This window comes from Homo sapiens, chromosome 19 (assembly GCF_000001405.40).
Source record: "Homo sapiens chromosome 19, GRCh38.p14 Primary Assembly".
NCBI classification, from domain to species: domain Eukaryota; kingdom Metazoa; phylum Chordata; class Mammalia; order Primates; family Hominidae; genus Homo; species Homo sapiens.
The window spans coordinates 29,581,630-29,599,169 of record NC_000019.10 but is presented as its reverse complement, the minus strand read 5'-3'; the positions used below and the strand labels follow the sequence as shown (position 1 = coordinate 29,599,169).

General features: G+C 46.2%; 2 annotated features.

Annotated features, from left to right (window-relative positions):
* Window positions 2,210–2,710: an enhancer, noted in NCBI's record as "OCT4-NANOG-H3K4me1 hESC enhancer chr19:30087367-30087867 (GRCh37/hg19 assembly coordinates)". NCBI's record gives its function as "activates a minimal SCP1, AML or CMV promoter by ChIP-STARR-seq in naive H9 embryonic stem cells {active_cell/tissue: H9 hESC(naive)}" and the evidence as "EXISTENCE:reporter gene assay evidence [ECO:0000049][PMID:30033119]".
* Window positions 2,711–3,211: an enhancer, noted in NCBI's record as "OCT4-NANOG-H3K4me1 hESC enhancer chr19:30086866-30087366 (GRCh37/hg19 assembly coordinates)". NCBI's record gives its function as "activates a minimal SCP1, AML or CMV promoter by ChIP-STARR-seq in naive H9 embryonic stem cells {active_cell/tissue: H9 hESC(naive)}" and the evidence as "EXISTENCE:reporter gene assay evidence [ECO:0000049][PMID:30033119]".

Genomic DNA, 17,540 nt, shown 5'->3' with positions numbered 1-17,540 from the left:
TTTTTTTGAGACAGTCTTGCTCCATCACCCAGCCTGGAGTGCAGTGATGCCATCTCAGCTCACTGCAACCTCTGCCTCCTGGGATCTAGCGATTCTTCTGCCTCAGCCTCCCGAATAGCTGGGACTACAGGCATGCGCCATCACACTCTGCTAATTTTTGTACTTTTAGTAGAGATAGGGCTTCACTATGTTGTCCCGGCTGGTCTCAAACTCTTGACTTCAAGTGACCTGCCTGCCTGGGCCTCCCAAAGTATTGGGATTATAGGCGTGAGCCACCTTGCCCAGCCACACTCTTCCTTTGTAATGATCTGATAAATATTTATCTTCCTCAAGCCCTGAAGCCTCTTTGGGGCCCCGTGTCTAGCTTATCACATGAAGGAATCCCTGGGGACCCCTACCAACCTCCCTGCAGCCCAGGTACCACTGGTGCTAGAGAGAGAGGGACCCTGGGAGAAGCTCTCTGGGTGCTCTGGGGCCTGAAGGCTGCTTCACTGCCAGGAGCCCTCAGCTGTCTGAGGCTTCAGGGGCTTCAGCTGTCTGAAGTGCTGGGACATGGAGATTGTCAGCTTGTAGAATGCCCCCTTTCTGGTCTGGACACAGTGTCATTTCCATCTTCTCCATGCTATCACTAGTTCTGTGGTCCCGGCCACTCAGAAGGCTGAGACGGGAGGGTCGCTTGAGCCCAGGAGTTCGGGGCTGCATTGAGCTATGATTAAGCCACTGCACTCTAGCCTGGATGACAGAGTGAGCCTTGTCTCTAAGAGGGGAAAAAAAATGAAAAATGTTAAATCTGTGTGTGCAGGCATTTACCATTACCTCATTCCTGAGGCTTCAACCCTGCCTGTCAATGCACAATTCCGAGGACCGGCCCTCATTTCATACCTGGCACTTATCTGCAGAGCAGCAGGGGCCGGGGCTGGGGTGCAGCTGCTCTCTTTGTGAGCTTGAGGAAGTTCCCCTGTTTCTCTTGGGTCTTTAGGCTTCTTGAGGATCCCCAGAAGCCGTGAGCCTCTGGATGGAGGATACAGCTTTAGCACCCACCTGGCGGCCCCCGTTGGCCTTTCCTTTTGGAGCACTGGTGGCTTTGAGGGTTGCCCCTGGCTTCTTCCCATCGGGAACCAAATGGTAAAACATGACCCAGCATTGCAATACTGAAAATTGGGTTATAATTCTCAGATTGTTAGGTTTCTACCATCTTATATTCTATTCAAGAATGTAAGGAACTCTGAGCGGGTGCAGGGGCTCACGCCTGTAATCCCAGCACTTTGGAGGCCGAGGCGGGCAGATCACTTGAGGTCAGGAGTTCGAGACCAGCCTGGCCAATATGGTGAAACCCTGTTTCTACTAGAAATACAAAAATTAGCCGGGTGTGGCAGTGCTCGCCTGTTATTCCAGCTACTCGGGAGACTGAGGCATGAGAATTGCTTGACCCTGGGGGGCAGAAGTTGCAGTGAGCTGAGATCGTGCCACTGCACTCCAGCCTGGGCAACAGAGTGAGACTTGATCTAAATAAATAAATAAATAAATAAACAAATAAATAAGGCTTCTTGACACCTGGACAAGAACTGCCTTTAATACTAATTTGGCCATTTGGACCGTGACGGGTTATTTTGGCATTTATATTTATTGGTTTACATATTTTCTCTCCCAGGGAGGTCTTGGAATATTAGACATAAAAGGTGCTCAAGGTTTGCAGCGGTGTTCTCTGGTCTGTCACTTGATGGCATTCTAACACAAGGAATGAGACAACGGCTTGCAGCTTCTTTCCTCAGTCTGGGAATTATTTCCCTCCACACCTGTCAAAAATCTGGTTTACTGGCCACTTCAAAGAATCACAGCCGTTGTGACTAGAAACTGCAGACATCCAGAAGCTGAGGGCATTTCTCTATAAACAATGTAACTGGTTTTTGATCAACACCTCCAGAATAGGCAGGACAGAGTCAAGTGGTTTAAATAAGATAGAGGGCAAAAGGAGAGAGAAATTACGAGACCCTGGGGAAGAGGTGGGATTGTCGGTTACATTTGGAAATTGATGGTGTGTCAGCGAGGCGGAAGGAGGGTGTGGGGGTGCTTCCAGATGGCAGGATTCACAGCTAGATTGTGGCAGTTACGAGACAGGGCTGCTTTGAGGAAGGTGAGGGATTGATTTCCACTCCTGTCTTTTTTTTTTTTTTTTTCTTTTGGAGGTGTCCTTTACCCCTTTCTCTATGAAGTGATTTTCTGCCCAGTGACCTTGTTATTACAATGGAAAGAGACACTCATACCGCAGAGTAAATAATACAACACTGGGCAGTGAGGTATAGACATGAGCTCATGAATTTCATGTGACAAGTGTCCTTTTCCATATAAAGGTAGAAACTGAGACAAAAGGAACTGAAGTTACTTAGCAAAATTGCCACCAATTAAGCCTCATTTTTTGAGGTTAGTGACTATCTGGTGATATTTGTTGGTGACATCTGGGTTAGGAGACTAGATTGCAATTTTCCCTCCTCCTTATCAAGGAAAAGCAAGTAATTGTGGAGGAGAGGCCAAAAGCAGAGGGGACGGCAGGAATGGTAAACTCTGCCATGCTGTTGTCACAGTGCTGCCTGTCACCATCGTGCATCCGTAGTGTGGGTGCCGGGCAGATGCACAGACAGTGTTCGAGAAACAGTGCATGAATGACTGCCTGAAATCAACTGAAAGGCACCAAAAAGGTGGCTTCCTAAGCAGTGTCATTCCAGGGTATCATAAATGCTGGTCCCCCAACCCCAACGGTGTACCAAGCTGGGAGGCCCTGCTCCAGTGAACCACAGTGCTTGACATTCAAACAATGGAGAGTCATTCTTTTAGATGGAGCCATTGCTTTCTGCAGGGTTTTATTTTGAAATGCAAATACCCCCAGCGTGGGTAATAAATAAACCCTGCAGTGTGACAAGGTGAGCCTCTTGCTGGGCAGCTGAGGCATGACTAATGGAGTCGCGCTGGGGGCAGGGGGTGGGGGCAGTAGGAGCCCTGGGAGGAGATAAAAAGCAGGGAGACTTGAGATTGGTAACACGTGGACAATTTCACCCTTTTGCCTTCACACTGGAAACCTGGAGCTAGAATTTCCTCTGCCGTGGACAGACTCCCAGAGAGCTTGACTTACCTCGGTTGGATATAACTGGGGAGAAGTAAATTGTTTTCTTTCCTTATTATTCCCTGGTCCACCTCCCACAGAGGATCCCAATAAACTGTGGCACAAAGACAGTGGCCTAGAGGGGGTGGACGTGGGGAGCCCACTGGTTCCTGCCACTTCTATAAAGTGGGCCACCGGGCCTTACCTAGCTGTGGCAGGCACTGAGTTCTGTCTGCCCCGAGGCTGGTTGCCATAGGAGGTGCCTGATTTCCCCTCTCTCTTGGAGAAACATGGGATTTCCTTGGAAGCATGGAGCACAAGTTTCTCATTGTGCTTGAAAGACTGTCTGTTATTAATGTGAATCCCCAGCAGAGAACAGGCCCTGAGGTCTATTGGAACTGCATGCATAGAGGCGCATCAATCCACCCTGATGCCTGGGGATGCCCTTCCTTTTTTCCTTTTTTTATATTAGGTCATTGATCAGCAACATTGATCAGAAAAAAATTATGCCTTGTTGGCCATATTCTTGGATGAAGATCAATGATGTTAATTCTCAGTACATCAATTCGCGTACCGGGCGCTAATTGGAAGGGATGAAGCTGTGTGATGTATCACTGTGTAGGGCCCAGGGCAACCACATCCTCGGAGGGGGTCCAGGAGATTTGATTTGACCAACCTACTCAACACATGAAGCCAGAAACTGCACCTGGCAGACGGGCCCTGAAGACAGAGGTTTAAAAGCCGTTCCTATCCCCTAATACCAGTGATGCTTGATGCTCACTGGGCGGCAATGAGGAGGAAAAATGACACAGCAGAACTTTGAGCAGCCTCGGCTCCTTGTGCTCCAGAGAACAGCCTCCTCCTTCTTCCCCTGCAGCAGGCATTTTCTTTCCCAAACCCAATATTTTATCACCACTGTGAGAAAACTTTAAATTGAAAGATGGAAATTGACTATATCAAATATAGAGAGAGGCAGAAATAATCCAACGGCAAAGGCTTCCAGGGTTTTATTTTTTATTTGTATGTATTTATTTACTTATTTATTTACTTTTGAGATGGAGTCTTGCTTTGTTATCCAGTCTGGTGTGCAGTGGTGTGATCTCGGCTCACTGCAGCCTCCCCCTCCTGGGTTCAAGCAATTCTCATGCCTTAGCCTCCTGGGTAGCTGGGACTACAGGCATGAACCACCATGTCTGGCTAATTTTGTATTTTTAGTAGAGGCGGGGTTTAGCCATGTTGGCCAGGCTAGTCTTGAACTCATGACCTCAAGTGATCCACTCACCTCAGCCTCCCAAAGTGCTGGGATTAGAGGCGTGAGCTACCGTGCCCAGCCCCTAGGGTTTTAGATTGAGTGTTGTTGACCTATTGCATTTTTTTAAATGCCTGTGTGTGTGTGTGTGTGTGTGTGTGTGTGTGTGTGTGTGTGTGTGTCTTTATTACTGTGGGCCTGAGGAACTGTCACCTTCATGAGTAATACTTGTTATGGTCCGAGAGCAGGTGCAGAGTGTTTTGACAGCTGGCCAGGAAGAGTGGATCGGAACAGCCTCACTCGCTGGGCTGTAGGATTCTCAGGTGTCAACGCCTCTGCTGTGGAGTTTGCCGCATTGACCCAAGACAATGCCCTTCAGACGAGGAGTGGCCGCCACAGACAGTGGGTCCAGCTGGAATCACGGACTCTAGTCCAGCATGGCCATTGCTCTGGCAGCTTTTCTAGGAGCAGGTTTTTGCTGAAACTTCTAGATTATCAGACACTAAGTTGGGGAGATCCCGTACCCGTGACAACTCACCTCTTTACCACATTTGTCTGATGTTGATTGTCTTGGAAGAATATCTATGACTCCTGGGTCTAGGGCACCCTAACATTTTCGTTTTCCAATTGCCCGTTTGACTGCAACAGGGTAGGGGATTTTCCAGCAGAAATTATTGTTGTAATAACCAGGTGTTATTTGTAGTGGGACCAAAAAGGTAAGACATTAGGTTTAGATGAGCTCAAAAGGGAATGTGTTCAGATGATGTCACCAATTTGACCCTCAGGGTGCACTGGGTGCTTGAGGGAAGAGGTGAGGTGGGCTTCTGCCTCCTTGCGATTTTTCATGCACTCTCAATAATGCTGCCATTCCCCACCCAGCGGCAGGAGGCTGAGCCTGCCGGTGCTGGAGGTTCCCCTTGGCTTGAGGACGTAAGGAGTCCCTTGGGGCTGTGGGATAAGTCAGTAGGTGTGAGTGTCCTGGGAGCTTTTAGGCATCAGGACAGCCCGCCATGGGCTGAAATGTGCCCCTTCCCCAAATTCCTATGTTGAAGCCCTAGTCCTTAATGTGGTGGTGTTTGGAAATGGGGTCTTTGGGAGATGATTAGGTTGAGATGAGGTCATGAGGGTGGGACCCTCATGATGAGAGTAGTGTCCTTTTAAGAAGAGACAGCAGAGCCAGTGTGATGGCTCATGCCTGTAATCCCAGCACTTTGGGAGGCTGAGGCAGGTGGATCACTTGAGGTCAGGAGTTCGAGATCAGCCTGGCCAACATGGTGAAACCCTGTCTCTACTAAAAATACAAAAATTAGCTGGGCGTGGTGGCAGGCATCTGTAGTCCCAGCTACGTGGGAGTCTGAGGCAGGAGAATCACTTGAATCCAGGAGGCAGAGGCTGCAGTGAGCCAAGATCATGCCACTGCACTCTAGCCTGGGCAACAGAGTGAGGCTCCATCTCAAAAAAAAAAAAAAAAAAAAAGAGACAGCAAAGTGTGTGCTTGCTCTCTCTGCCGTGGAGGACACAATGGCCATCGGCTCCCTGATCTTGAACTTCCAGCCTCCAGGACTGTGAGAAGATAAACTTCTGTTGCTTAAGCCCCCTGTCTGTGGTATTTTATTGTGGCCTCCTGAGCTTCCTAAGACATTTTCCAGGGAGGTTCAGACCCCCATGTCCGCAGAGGAAGGTGATGATCTAGACTAGGAGGCTGTCAGCTATAGCTGAGAGGCAAGTTTGGCCAAGCCCTCCAGGCAGTGGCCCTGGGCCCTGAGTCTCGGGCTCTCCTTCTCTAGTTTCTCTTAGGCACACCAGGTTTCTCCTCTTTCTAACCTGTAGACTCCTCACTCAATTCCTGCTCAGAAAAAAAGGTCAGAGAAATTTAACTTTATCCTTAACAGATTTCTGCACATTTTGAAAAAAAGAAAAAATCCAACAAATGTCCCTCCAATGGAGTCTCACTCTGTCGCCCAGGCTGGAGTACAATGGTGTGATCTCGGCTCACTGTAACCTCCTCCTCCTGTGTTGAAGCAATTCTCCTGCCTCAGCCTCGTGAGTAGCTGGGATTATAGGCACCTGCCATCACGCCTGGCTAATTTTTGTATTTTTAGTAGATATGGGGTTTCACCTGAACTCCTGCCCTCAAGTGAGCCTCCTGCCTCAGCCTCCCAAAGGCTGGGATTACAGGCGCCAATGACACCCTTCTACAGCTAAAGGCAAATGTAATTTCTCCACTCAAGGACCAGCAGGATAAAACCTGGAATTCAGGGTTCTCCTATCAGGAGCTGAGACAGATCTGTGATTGTACCCTTTTTGCAAGCTGACAGGTGAGTCTGCCACAGTTTCATGGATGCTGACGGAAGACACAAGGCTCCTGGGTCAGAAACAAAGGGCTTTATTCTCACAGCAAAAGCAGTAGAGTACCAGCATTTTTGTGTACTGATTCTCTGAGTTCTAACTCCCCAGGGCAATGCAGAGGGCTGAGGGAAACTTCCCATGTAGGGGTTTCGTTCCAGGCAAGGAACTCTTAGTGTCCCTTACTTTTTAAATAGTGGGCTGTCAGTGTGCCTGCCCTTTGCAAATCTGTCTCTATCTTCCAAAGCTGTTCACTGTATAAATAGCCTTGAAAAGATAGTCTACCACAAGGGCCAACAGTGCCTCTGCTCATGAGATATGCAGAAATGTGAGACACTTATGAATTATCTACCAACATCCCCATGGCTTGTGCCCCAACCTTATGTCTCGTCACTCCATCTTACACTTCATGCTGGGTCATGACAGACTCCTTGTCACCTCTGTCTCTCTGGGCTGTTTGTTCATGAAGACTCAACAACTTGGATTATCCTTTCTTCCTTTCCAGCCACTCCCTGCACACCCTTTGAAATTCCCTCTGTGGAAAGCTTTCCCCATTAGACCATGAACCCCTTGAGGTTCCTGTGCCCTGAGGGGAGGTTGTGGTATATTTTCCCTGAACAAAGATCCCTTTCTCAGTTCTCCAAGACCATTTAGTCAATGACACACTAACCAATCCTGGGTGAATTCAGATTTAAGTGTAGCTGATCTTTCTGCATGAACATCTTGCTTAGCCGAATGAAAGCCTCTTGGGGACCGGGGCTCTGTGTTGGACACCTCGGCAGAGTGGCAGGCAGGTAGAGGACACATGTAAAGTCCTTGCTGATCAGCAGGTGGCTGGAAGCCTGTGGCTTAGCAGGGACAGTGAGTTGGCTGAGCAGACATGTGCTGCCCATCCGTGCTGCAGTGAGGTCCCTCCTGGATGTGGAGGCTGCTTGCTGGACCCAATTTCCTGAAATCAGTTGCATTGACTTGTGGGCTTTTTTTGCAAGTAACTGTTGTCTCTGCAAGAAGCAGTCCCCGAATCACATCAAATGACTTGAGATCTGGGTTGAGATAGTTTCTGTTAATTAAAAAGCTGTATTTCTCATCTTGAGTTGAGGAAGGAAATTTCTGGGAGAAAGAAGCACAGCTGTGCTCCCAGGATTTCTCTCATCCAGAAAGACAGAAATTCAAGTGAATCTAGTAAGTGTCCATGCAGCATTTACAGTGTGTGGGGATATTAGGGACATAGACATAGGAAGAATGATTAATTACAACCTGGTCCCTGCCTTCAGGAAGCTTCCGCCCAGCAGGGTGAGATCAGGGCAGTGAGTGAGAGCAAGTCTTTCAAGTACCGGGGGATAATGAGGAGACAAGACTTGTTCGCCTGCATCTGGAAGTGGAGTGTTACCATTTATTACTGCACAACCAATTACCCTAAAATGTAGTGGCTTAAAAGGACATTTCCTATCTCAGTTTCTGCAGGTCAGGAAGTTGGGAATGGCTTAACTGAGTAGTCCTGCCTCAGGGTTTTCCAACTTGCAGTCCACATGTCAGCCAGAGGTTTGTTCATCTGTAGGCTTGGCTGTGGGTGCAGCATCCAGTCCCAGGATGGCCCCTACACAGGGATGTGGGTAGGAGTCCTAAGTTCCTTGCCATGATTTGAGGATGGTTTTGAGTATATCTTCAGCTGGCTTCTCCAGAGTGGATGATCCAAGAGCTAGCAAGGCAGGAGCTGCAGTGTTTTTCATGAACGACTCTCCAAAGACACCACAATTTCTGCAATGTTCTATTGTTGCATGAGCCAGTCCTACTCCTTGTGGGAGAGGACCACAATACCAAGAGGCAGGGGTCACTGGGGACCGTTTTGGAGGTGGCTACTGCATGGCTGTCTCCTGCTAGCAAAAGGATACAGGGGTGGAGAACAGAGACCTCAATTCCCCCATGTCTGTTCTCCCTCCTGAACAAACTAGCAGCCTCTGCAAAAACTACTTTGGAAAGCGCTGCTTCAGGCCCCAGGCAGCAGGGAGCACTCTGAGACTGCCCTGAAGACATTGCTGGTGCGGCTTGCAAAAGCAGGATGCTCTGTTTCAAAGGGCTTTCCTGGCTGAGGGGCAAGGGAGGCGGCAGGAGGCCTCTGGAGCCTGCTCCCACTGTGACTACTTGCGGTTCTCCACTTTGCACCTTCAGAGTGGATGCTTCCCCTGGTCTTCATCTAAGCTGCAGTTCATGTCTCTAAAAAATACAAAGCTTTTGCTTTGCTGACCTAGATTGGTCTCAGCAAAAGCAAAGATGCATTTTCTCCCAGGGCCCAAGGCAGTCAGCCCTTAAATGAAGTTTATTTAACAAAGGGAATAGTTCCAGTTGAATTTTCGAGATGGAACTGTGGGTTCATTTGCAGCAACATGGAAGGTCGAGGGGAAGCTAATGAAAATGGTTTTTCTCAGCATACATGATTGATATGGTTTGGCTGTGTCCCCACCCAAATCTCATCTTGAGTTGTAGTTCCCATAATCCCCACATGTTGTGGGAGGGACTCGGTGGGAGGTAATTTAATCAAGGGGCCGGTTTCCCCCATGCTATTCTTGTGATACTGAGTGAGTTCTCACAAGGTCTGATGATTTTATAAGGGGCTTCCCCCTTCACTCAGCTCTTATTCTTCTCTCTCCTGCTGCCATGTGAAGGACATGTTTGCTTCCCCTTCCACCACGATTGTAAGTTTCCTGAGGCCTCCCCAGCCATGTGGAACTGTGAGTCAATTAAACCTCTTTCCTTTATAAATTACCCAGTCTCAGGCAGTTCTTTACAGCAGTGTTAGAACAGACTAATATAATGATGCACAAGTGTTTCCAGAATGACATGTACATCTTCCAAGCTTGAGCCTCGCCATGTCTCTCCTTCACACAGATACCCTGTGAAGATGAAATTCCAAGACAAAAGCACATTTGGGCCAAGTTTCCTTGGGTCTGTGTGCTCCAATCCTGGGGCAGTCCTCCCACAGCTGTTGCCTTGGGGTGGGCCCCTGCAGATTTCTTGCAGGGGACATCAGTTTGGCCTCCTGGCATCTGCTTCCTCTCCAATAATAGCTTGTCTGATTTTTGCGGGAGGATCTGCCCATCCCACTCTCAGCCCAGATGCATCTGGTGAGGCTTATTCCATCCTGGGCTCACCAAGTCAGCACACTCAGTCTCTCTCACCCTGGTGATTGGTTCAGGATGATCCATGCAGGGCATCTGTACCTGTACCTTGTACCCCCTGGTACACAGAGCCAGGATGGATCAACTCTGGAACTTTTCTTTTCTAGAGATGGGTCTCACTCTATCACCCACGTTGGAGTGTGGTGGTACAATCAATGGCTCACTGCAGCCTTAATCTCCCGGGCTAAAGTGATCCTCCCACCTCAGACTCTCAAGTAGCTAGGATCACAGGTGGGCACCACGACACCTGGCTAACCTCTTTATTTTTAGTAGAGATGGGGACTTGCTATGTTGTCCAGACTGGTCTTGAACTCCTGGCCTCAAGCAATCCTTCCACCTCAGCCTCCCAAAGTGCTGGGATTACAGATGTGAGCCACCATGCCTAGCCAACTCTGAAACTGTTGTAAAGCTGGGGGACGTGCCACTATATGTAGCCACCTGTGCATCAGGCAGACCTGAGAGATGGAGGGAGAGGCCAGGACTTGGAATTTCTGAGTTCTAGATACAGCTGCAGCTGCATCCAGCCCTATAAATCCCCCTTTGGCTTAAAGCAGTTCAGATTGCCAAGTTCTGTCAACCGTGAGAGATCTAGTAGATATACTTTGTAGAAATCATGTGGTTCTCACAATGAGATACCATTTCACACCAGTCAGAATGGCCACTACTAAAAAGTCAAAAAATAGCAGATGTTGATGATGCTGTAGAGAAAACTGATTGCTTGTACACTGTTGGTGGGAATGTAAATTAGTTCAGGCACTGTGGAAAGCAGTTTGGAGATTTCTCAAAGAACTTAAAACAGAACTACCATTCAACCCAGCAATTCCATTACTGGGTGTCTACCCAAAGGAATATAAATCATTCTACCAAAAAGACACATACACTCGTATGTTCACTGCAGCACTATTCACAATAGCAAAGACATGGAATCAACCCAGGTGCCCACCAACAGTGTACTGGATAAAGAAAAATATGATACATATACACCATGGAATACTATGCAGCCATGAAAAAGAACAAAATTAGGTCCTCTCCAGCTGGATGCAGCTGGAGGCCATTATCCTAAGTGAATTTTCTCAGAAACAGGAAACAAAATACTGCAAGTTTTCACTGATGAGTGGGAGCTAAATACTGGGGACTCATGGACATAACGATGGCAAACATAGACACTGGGGACTCCTACAGCAGGGAAGGAGGGGGGCAAGGGCTGAAAAACCACCTATTGAGTATTATGCTCATTACCTGGGTGATGGAATCAATCACATCCTAAACCTCAGCATCATAAAATATACCCATGTACCAAACCTGCACGTGTACGCCCTGAATCTAAAATAAAAGTTAAAAAAAGAAAAGAAAAAGAAACGAGATGTTTCCCCCTCTGCTATGTGGAACCTAATGCTTCAGGTACAGATGCTATGGAAGATGGATTTCTTTAGTGTCTTGTATGAGTCACAACACTTGGGTGACTCAAGGCAGCCCTAAACTGTGGTCTTGAGCACTGTGCACAGATGCCTGTGACCTCAGTGCATTTATGGGACTTCCTGCCACCAGCTATGAAAACAGTTCTCAGCATTGCAGGCTTGAGCTAGTGGGAACCAATCTGAGGCTGTGGCTAGGCTGCCTTCAGGCTAGCATGTGACCTGCCTGTGTGTTGTCAAACTCTCTTGGTAAATAGGGAGAGTGGTGGTTGGATCACAGACTTGTTATCTCATCTGAAACCTTTTCTACTTTGGCACTCATTTTCTTTTCTCCCGCCCAGGGCAAAACTCTTTCCCCTTCCCATCTCATGGTATCTTGCCCCATCAACTCTCTTCCTTCCCTGTCCCAGGCTCTATCTGACGATTCCCTTTTCTTCCTTAGACTGTTCACAGGCTTAAGACTTTGAAACTAAGAAATTTTGCCACTGCCTGCCCTGGTCTTCTGGTACTACTACTAGCTACTACTCTCCCTCCCTTCTCAACCAAGCTTTGTGAAAGTATGGTCTGTGCCATTCTTCCCATCTCATTCACTCACCCCACCTCAATCTTCTCTGGCAGAGGGGACCAGTTTGTCACATTAGCAAAACCAGTGGGGCCAGCACACACGAAGCAACAGTACAGGTGCACTCACAGCATGATGGCATCGTGCCTGGAGCCTGCCTTCCCAACATCATGCCCATAGTCTCTGGGGCATTAGGCACTGTGGATACTTTCAGCTTCTTGAAACTCTCCAAGCCCTGGTTTCCACGACCTCCTTCTTCAGTGAGTTCTCATGTATTTCTCACTTTCTTCTGCTTTCCCACATCATGTTCTCCTTTGTGTCTACCCTGCTCCAGTGGATTTTGTCTTTAAGATGCCATCATTCCTCTACTAGAAGCTCCCTCCAGCTGTGTTTTAGCTAACAGCTTTATGCATTTGCTTCCAAAATTTATCTCTGGTCGCAACCTCTCTCATTACTTACAACAGTTTGCTAGATATCTGCAGTTTGGTATTCTGCAGGAACCTCAAATTCAAAATGTCCAGAGTAGCCTTCTGCTTCTGGCTGTGATAAGGTAACAGGCATTGGATTTACCTGCCCATCATAAACAACTAAAAAAGCAGATACAATATTTGAAACAACTCTTTTTAGACATTGATCAAAAGGCAGCATAAGGCAGTGACTCATGAGAGAAAGGAAACAAATGGGATGAGGCCTGGATTGCCTGAGCTCACTGTCTGGAGCGAGATTCCAGGACAGGGATGGGGGTGTGCCTGGGTGTCCAGACAGAGTCTAGTGGTTTCTTTGAGTTGCAGAGACAGTGTGGTGTGGAGAGTGCTCAGAGATCTGCTGGTCCCACTCAGGTCTTCTGCTGAGTACCCATCAATGCCTGCATATGAGGAAGCTGCTTGAGGCCAGTGAAAAAACGCTGGAAAGAAAAAGGTAGAACAATTTCTGGAAATCACAAGGGCTGGGCTGGGTCATATTCCCAATAGTCAGAATGGAGAGACCTTGTAATACACAGGTAATCAGGAAAAACACTCAGCACCCCACAATTTAGATGAAGTGGGCAAAGTTTTTGAAAGACACAAATGACTAAAGCTTATTAAAAAAAGATAGATAACCCAAATAGCCCTATATCTATTAATGACATTAAATTTAGAGTTAGAAATCTTCCTTCAAAGAAAATTCCAAGCCCAGGTGGCTTGAGTCATTTGAGAAAGAAATAATGTCAATTCTACCCAAACTCTTCCAGAATATTAAAGATGAGGCAATACTTCCTAATTCATTCTATGAGGTCAGCATTACCACTAATCTCAAAACCAGAAAAAGGCACTATAAGAAAAGAAAACTACAGAGATTCCTCATAAACACAGATGCAAAAATTCTTAGCAAAATTTTAGCAAGTTGGTTCCAACAGAACTTAAAAAATCATGACCAAGGAGAGACTTGATGATAAATCAGTGTGATTCACTTTTACCAGGCTAAAAAGGAAAATCATATGCTTATCTCAACAGATACAGAAAAATCACTTGACAAAATCCAATATCCAATCATGATAAAAATCCTAAGTAAACTAGCAATAGAGAGAAATTTTCTTAGGCTGATAAAACGTTTCTGTGAAAAGTCTAACATCATACTTAACAGTAAAAAGCAAAATGCTTTTCCCATAAGACCAGTAACAAGACAAGATGTTCACTCTTAGCACATCTGTTCAACATTATTCCAGAGTCTCTAGTTAGTGGAATAAGGCATGAAAAGAAAAAAAAAAAAACAAGCATACAGTTAAAAAAGGAAGAAGCAAAACCATCTTTGTTTGCTGATAGTGCTGATAGCATCTTCACCTATGGAAAAAATCCTAAGGAATTAATCTAAAAAAACCTATGGAACTTATAAATAAGTTCAGTAATGTTGCAAGAAAAAGATCAGTATGCACAAGTACATTGTCTTTCTATATATGATCAACAATAAGAAATTTAAATTTAGAATAATGAAATAGCATCAGATATTTGAAATACCTAGAGATAAATTTGGTAAAAGATGTACCTGACTTGTGGACTGAAACCTACAAAACATTGTTGAGAGAAATTAAAGAGATCTAAAAAAATGGGGAGAAATATACCATGTTCATGGATCAGAAGACTCAGTTTTATTAAGATGTTAATTGTCTCCAACTTGATCTACAGATTCAACATGATCCCAATCAAAATTCAAAAAATTTTTTTTTTCAGAAACTGATCTGCTAGTTTAAAAATTTATGTGGAACTAAAAGAATCGAAAATAGCTAATTAAAGATTTTATGTGCAAGTAAAATAATCTAGAATAGCTAAAATGATTTTGAAAAGGAAGAACTAAGAGGACTTACACTAACTGGAAAGAGAGCAGGTCAAGTGGCTAATTGTGCTGGGGTTTATAAGTGCAGATCTGAATTTGGCAAATCTTGTTCCATCCACATCTTATGGTCAGGGTCAAGTCACATGGCATTTACAGATTGGAGGCCGTATCCACCTTGATCCTCTTGGATCACTTTTATCAACTCCTTGCAGCTATCCCCAAGCATCTGTGTGCTTTCTGCTAATAGACTGCACCTGCAACCTGCAACCTCCTGTACGCTGCTCTTGGGCACTAGAGCCTCCTCCCACGCATGCAGAGAAGTACCTGTGTATCTCAGAGCAGCCCATAGTCAACGACTGGTTGGGAGAAGAAAAGCCCAGCATCGTTTGAGACCAGCCTGGCCAACATGGTGAAACCCTGTCTCTACTAATGATACAAAAATTAGCCAAGAGTGGTGGTGGGCGCCTGTAATCCCAGCTACTCGGGAGGCTGAGGCAGGAGAATCGCTTGAACCTGGGAGGTGGAGGTTGCAATGAGCCAAGATAGCGCCATTGCACTCCAGACTGGGTGACAAGAGTGAAACTCCGTCTCCAAAAAAAAAAAAGCCCAGCATCATTGCCTTCATGCAGGTCAAACTCTGAGGTGCAATTATACTCCAGAGATTCCCACGGGGTTAGGCTGAGTCTGGGACTTCATCCAAATTCACACCTTTGTTTTCCTTCTCCCCTTCTCTATATCTGCACCCCCCACCGACCCCGCCCCACTTACTGGCTCCTTCTGGCAGCACTCAACCAATCGATGGGATCCAAAAGAAGCAGGTCTGGTCAGCACCTAGTCTCACAGTCCCTTATTTACCTAACTTTCTTTCTTTCTTCTTCTTCTGTTTTTCTTTCTTTCTCTTTCTTTCTTTCTTTCTTTCTTTCTTTCTTTCTTTCTTTCTTTCTTTCTTTCTTTCTTTCTCTTTCTTTCTTTCTTTCTTTTTTTTTTTTAATAGAGACTAGGTCTAGGCTCCCCTTCTCAAGGAAGCCTCCTCAGCTTGTCTCCATCATCGAGTGGCTCTGTTGACAGCTCTGTTTCCCCTTTGCTAGACTCTGGCTCTCCAGTTGCCAGGAACCAAGCTCTGTTTTTCTTTGCATTCCTGGTGCTCATGCAGCCCAGTGGCAGGCATAGAATGACTGTTGGATGCATCATTTCTGAACTTCAGGTCTCTTCATGAGGCTGTTCTGCTGCAAGGGTAGCATGAGGTGTGATCCAAGCAAGGGGTCTTTGCTCTCAGCTGCCTCTCTGATGTGGCAGAGGTGAGATATTCAATAAGTCAGCTGGAAAAGGAAGCTGTACCCCTGCTGCTGTCTTCAGGCCAGTTTTCCCCAGCTCTGGGCTTTGCATGGAAAGTTAAATCATCCCTGGCCCCCCAGGCATCACAGCTCTCAAATTACACACTCTATTGCTCTGCAATTAAGCAATAATGCAATTAGAAATAATGCAGTGAAGATGATGATCTGTGGGGCCCATTCTTGAAAATGCTTGACTTGAATATTGAGCTTGGTGCAGGGGAAGACTAAACACACAAATTTTTTTTTTTTAAAAACATAAAAATGTATTGTCTTAAAACAGTTGTGCATTATGAGTCATCACTCTTACTCAGCCTGCAGCTTTCTGCTGTGAGATGCATTGGAGGAGTTGCTCCCTTGTGTATCTAATCTTCACTATTTGGTGGGGGTGGTTCCACAGGCAGATGACATTGCTTGCCACTTTTGCAGCCCTCCTATGCTTTGCCATGCCTTACCTGAGGATCAGATGACAGCTGCCTCCTACCTGCCACCCTCTTTCCTTTCTTGGGGCCAGTGGGGCTGGCAGGCAGGTCAATGGGATGAAGGAGGGGGCCGGAATCAGAGCCCTATCCCTGGAGCACAGAGTTTCCATGACGGTGGCCCCAAGAGGGGCTCCCCTAGCATTTTCTTTTCATGAGGGAGAAAGTCAGCCCGGAAGACTCCAGAGTGACATGGCTCCCTGGCTCCCAAACCTGGTCCAATGAGCACAACGTGGACAGCACAGCAAGCACAAAAGCACAAGGTCCTGTGTGCCAAGATGCAACCTTCCTATCTTTTTGGTTAAAATGTCCTTCCCGTCTGAAATGGCATTAATAGTGAAGTTTTTCTCAGTGTTCTTGCTCACCAAAACCAGCTTTCCAATTGTTTCATATTAGGTCAGACCATGTGAAATTGCTAACGTTTGACTGTTTTTGACCCATAAAATGGCAAATTTGCTGTATTTGATCATTGTGACCCATAAAAATGGCAATGCCAGATGGTTCAATCAAATACTTTTACTAATTCATGAGAAACCTAACATCTGGGACCAACAGGGTAGCAGAAAGACCTTCACCATAGAACGTGGTGAGTTTAGAGATTCGTTTGGCTTCTACCTCTTCCAACAACCTCATGAACTCCCCGCCTGGTGAGGCCTGGTTCCCTCGTCTGTGGAGTGGAACTCATAACCCATGTCCTTCCCATCTCACAGGGTCACATGAAATGATGGACATTAAATTGCCTCTTAAACGGTAAAGTGCCCTGTGAACGTCAGGTTAATGGCCTGCATTTGGGATGACTCTTATGTGTAATGATCAGATCCTCAGCTTGGGCTCTCCCAGAACAAAGTGTTCCTTCTTTAACCTCTGTTTTTATTTCTTTGGGATGAAAACAAGTGGGGACAAGCTCTGTGGACTGGCCACAGTAACCCACCAGAGGCTGGTGTTTACATTTGCTGTGGCGGTTTCTAGTCAAAAGTCAGAACAATTGAGTGAAATGTGCAAAAATCAATCTGTCAGTGACTTTGTTTCCAGAAGGTTATGCAACTGGTTTGGATCTTTTTAAAAAAGAAATTGACTAAAAAAAAAAAAACCCACTTGAAATTCAGTTTTCTTTTCTCAGGATGACTTAGAGACCATGTTATTTATAAAATGTTTTAAAATTCTTAGTGAGAATAATACCAAAGTGAAATAAAGTATCAGTCTCCAAGCAGACATTTCTAACATTTAAACACCATAAAGAGACTTCACTCAATGGTCTATCAAAAATCTTTATTAACTATATTTTTGTAAAGGGCTTGACACAGCAGACAATGATATTCCTGTGATAGCCCTAGAGGAGTTACATGATTCTCCAGTGACTGTTGGGCCTCCATGGCAAGGTAATTCAGCATAGTTATTCTTTGGAAATTGGTGTAGTGGATGTGGTTGGCTCCCTGTCTGTATCCTCTCACCCTTCCCACTTTTGTGCATGTCACTCCCACTTCCAATGGCCAGAACCTGCATCTCTTTGCCTGGGGCTCCTTCGTCAATGGGAGCAGCAAGCCAGAAGTGCCAGGAAGTCAGCAGCCCCAAGAA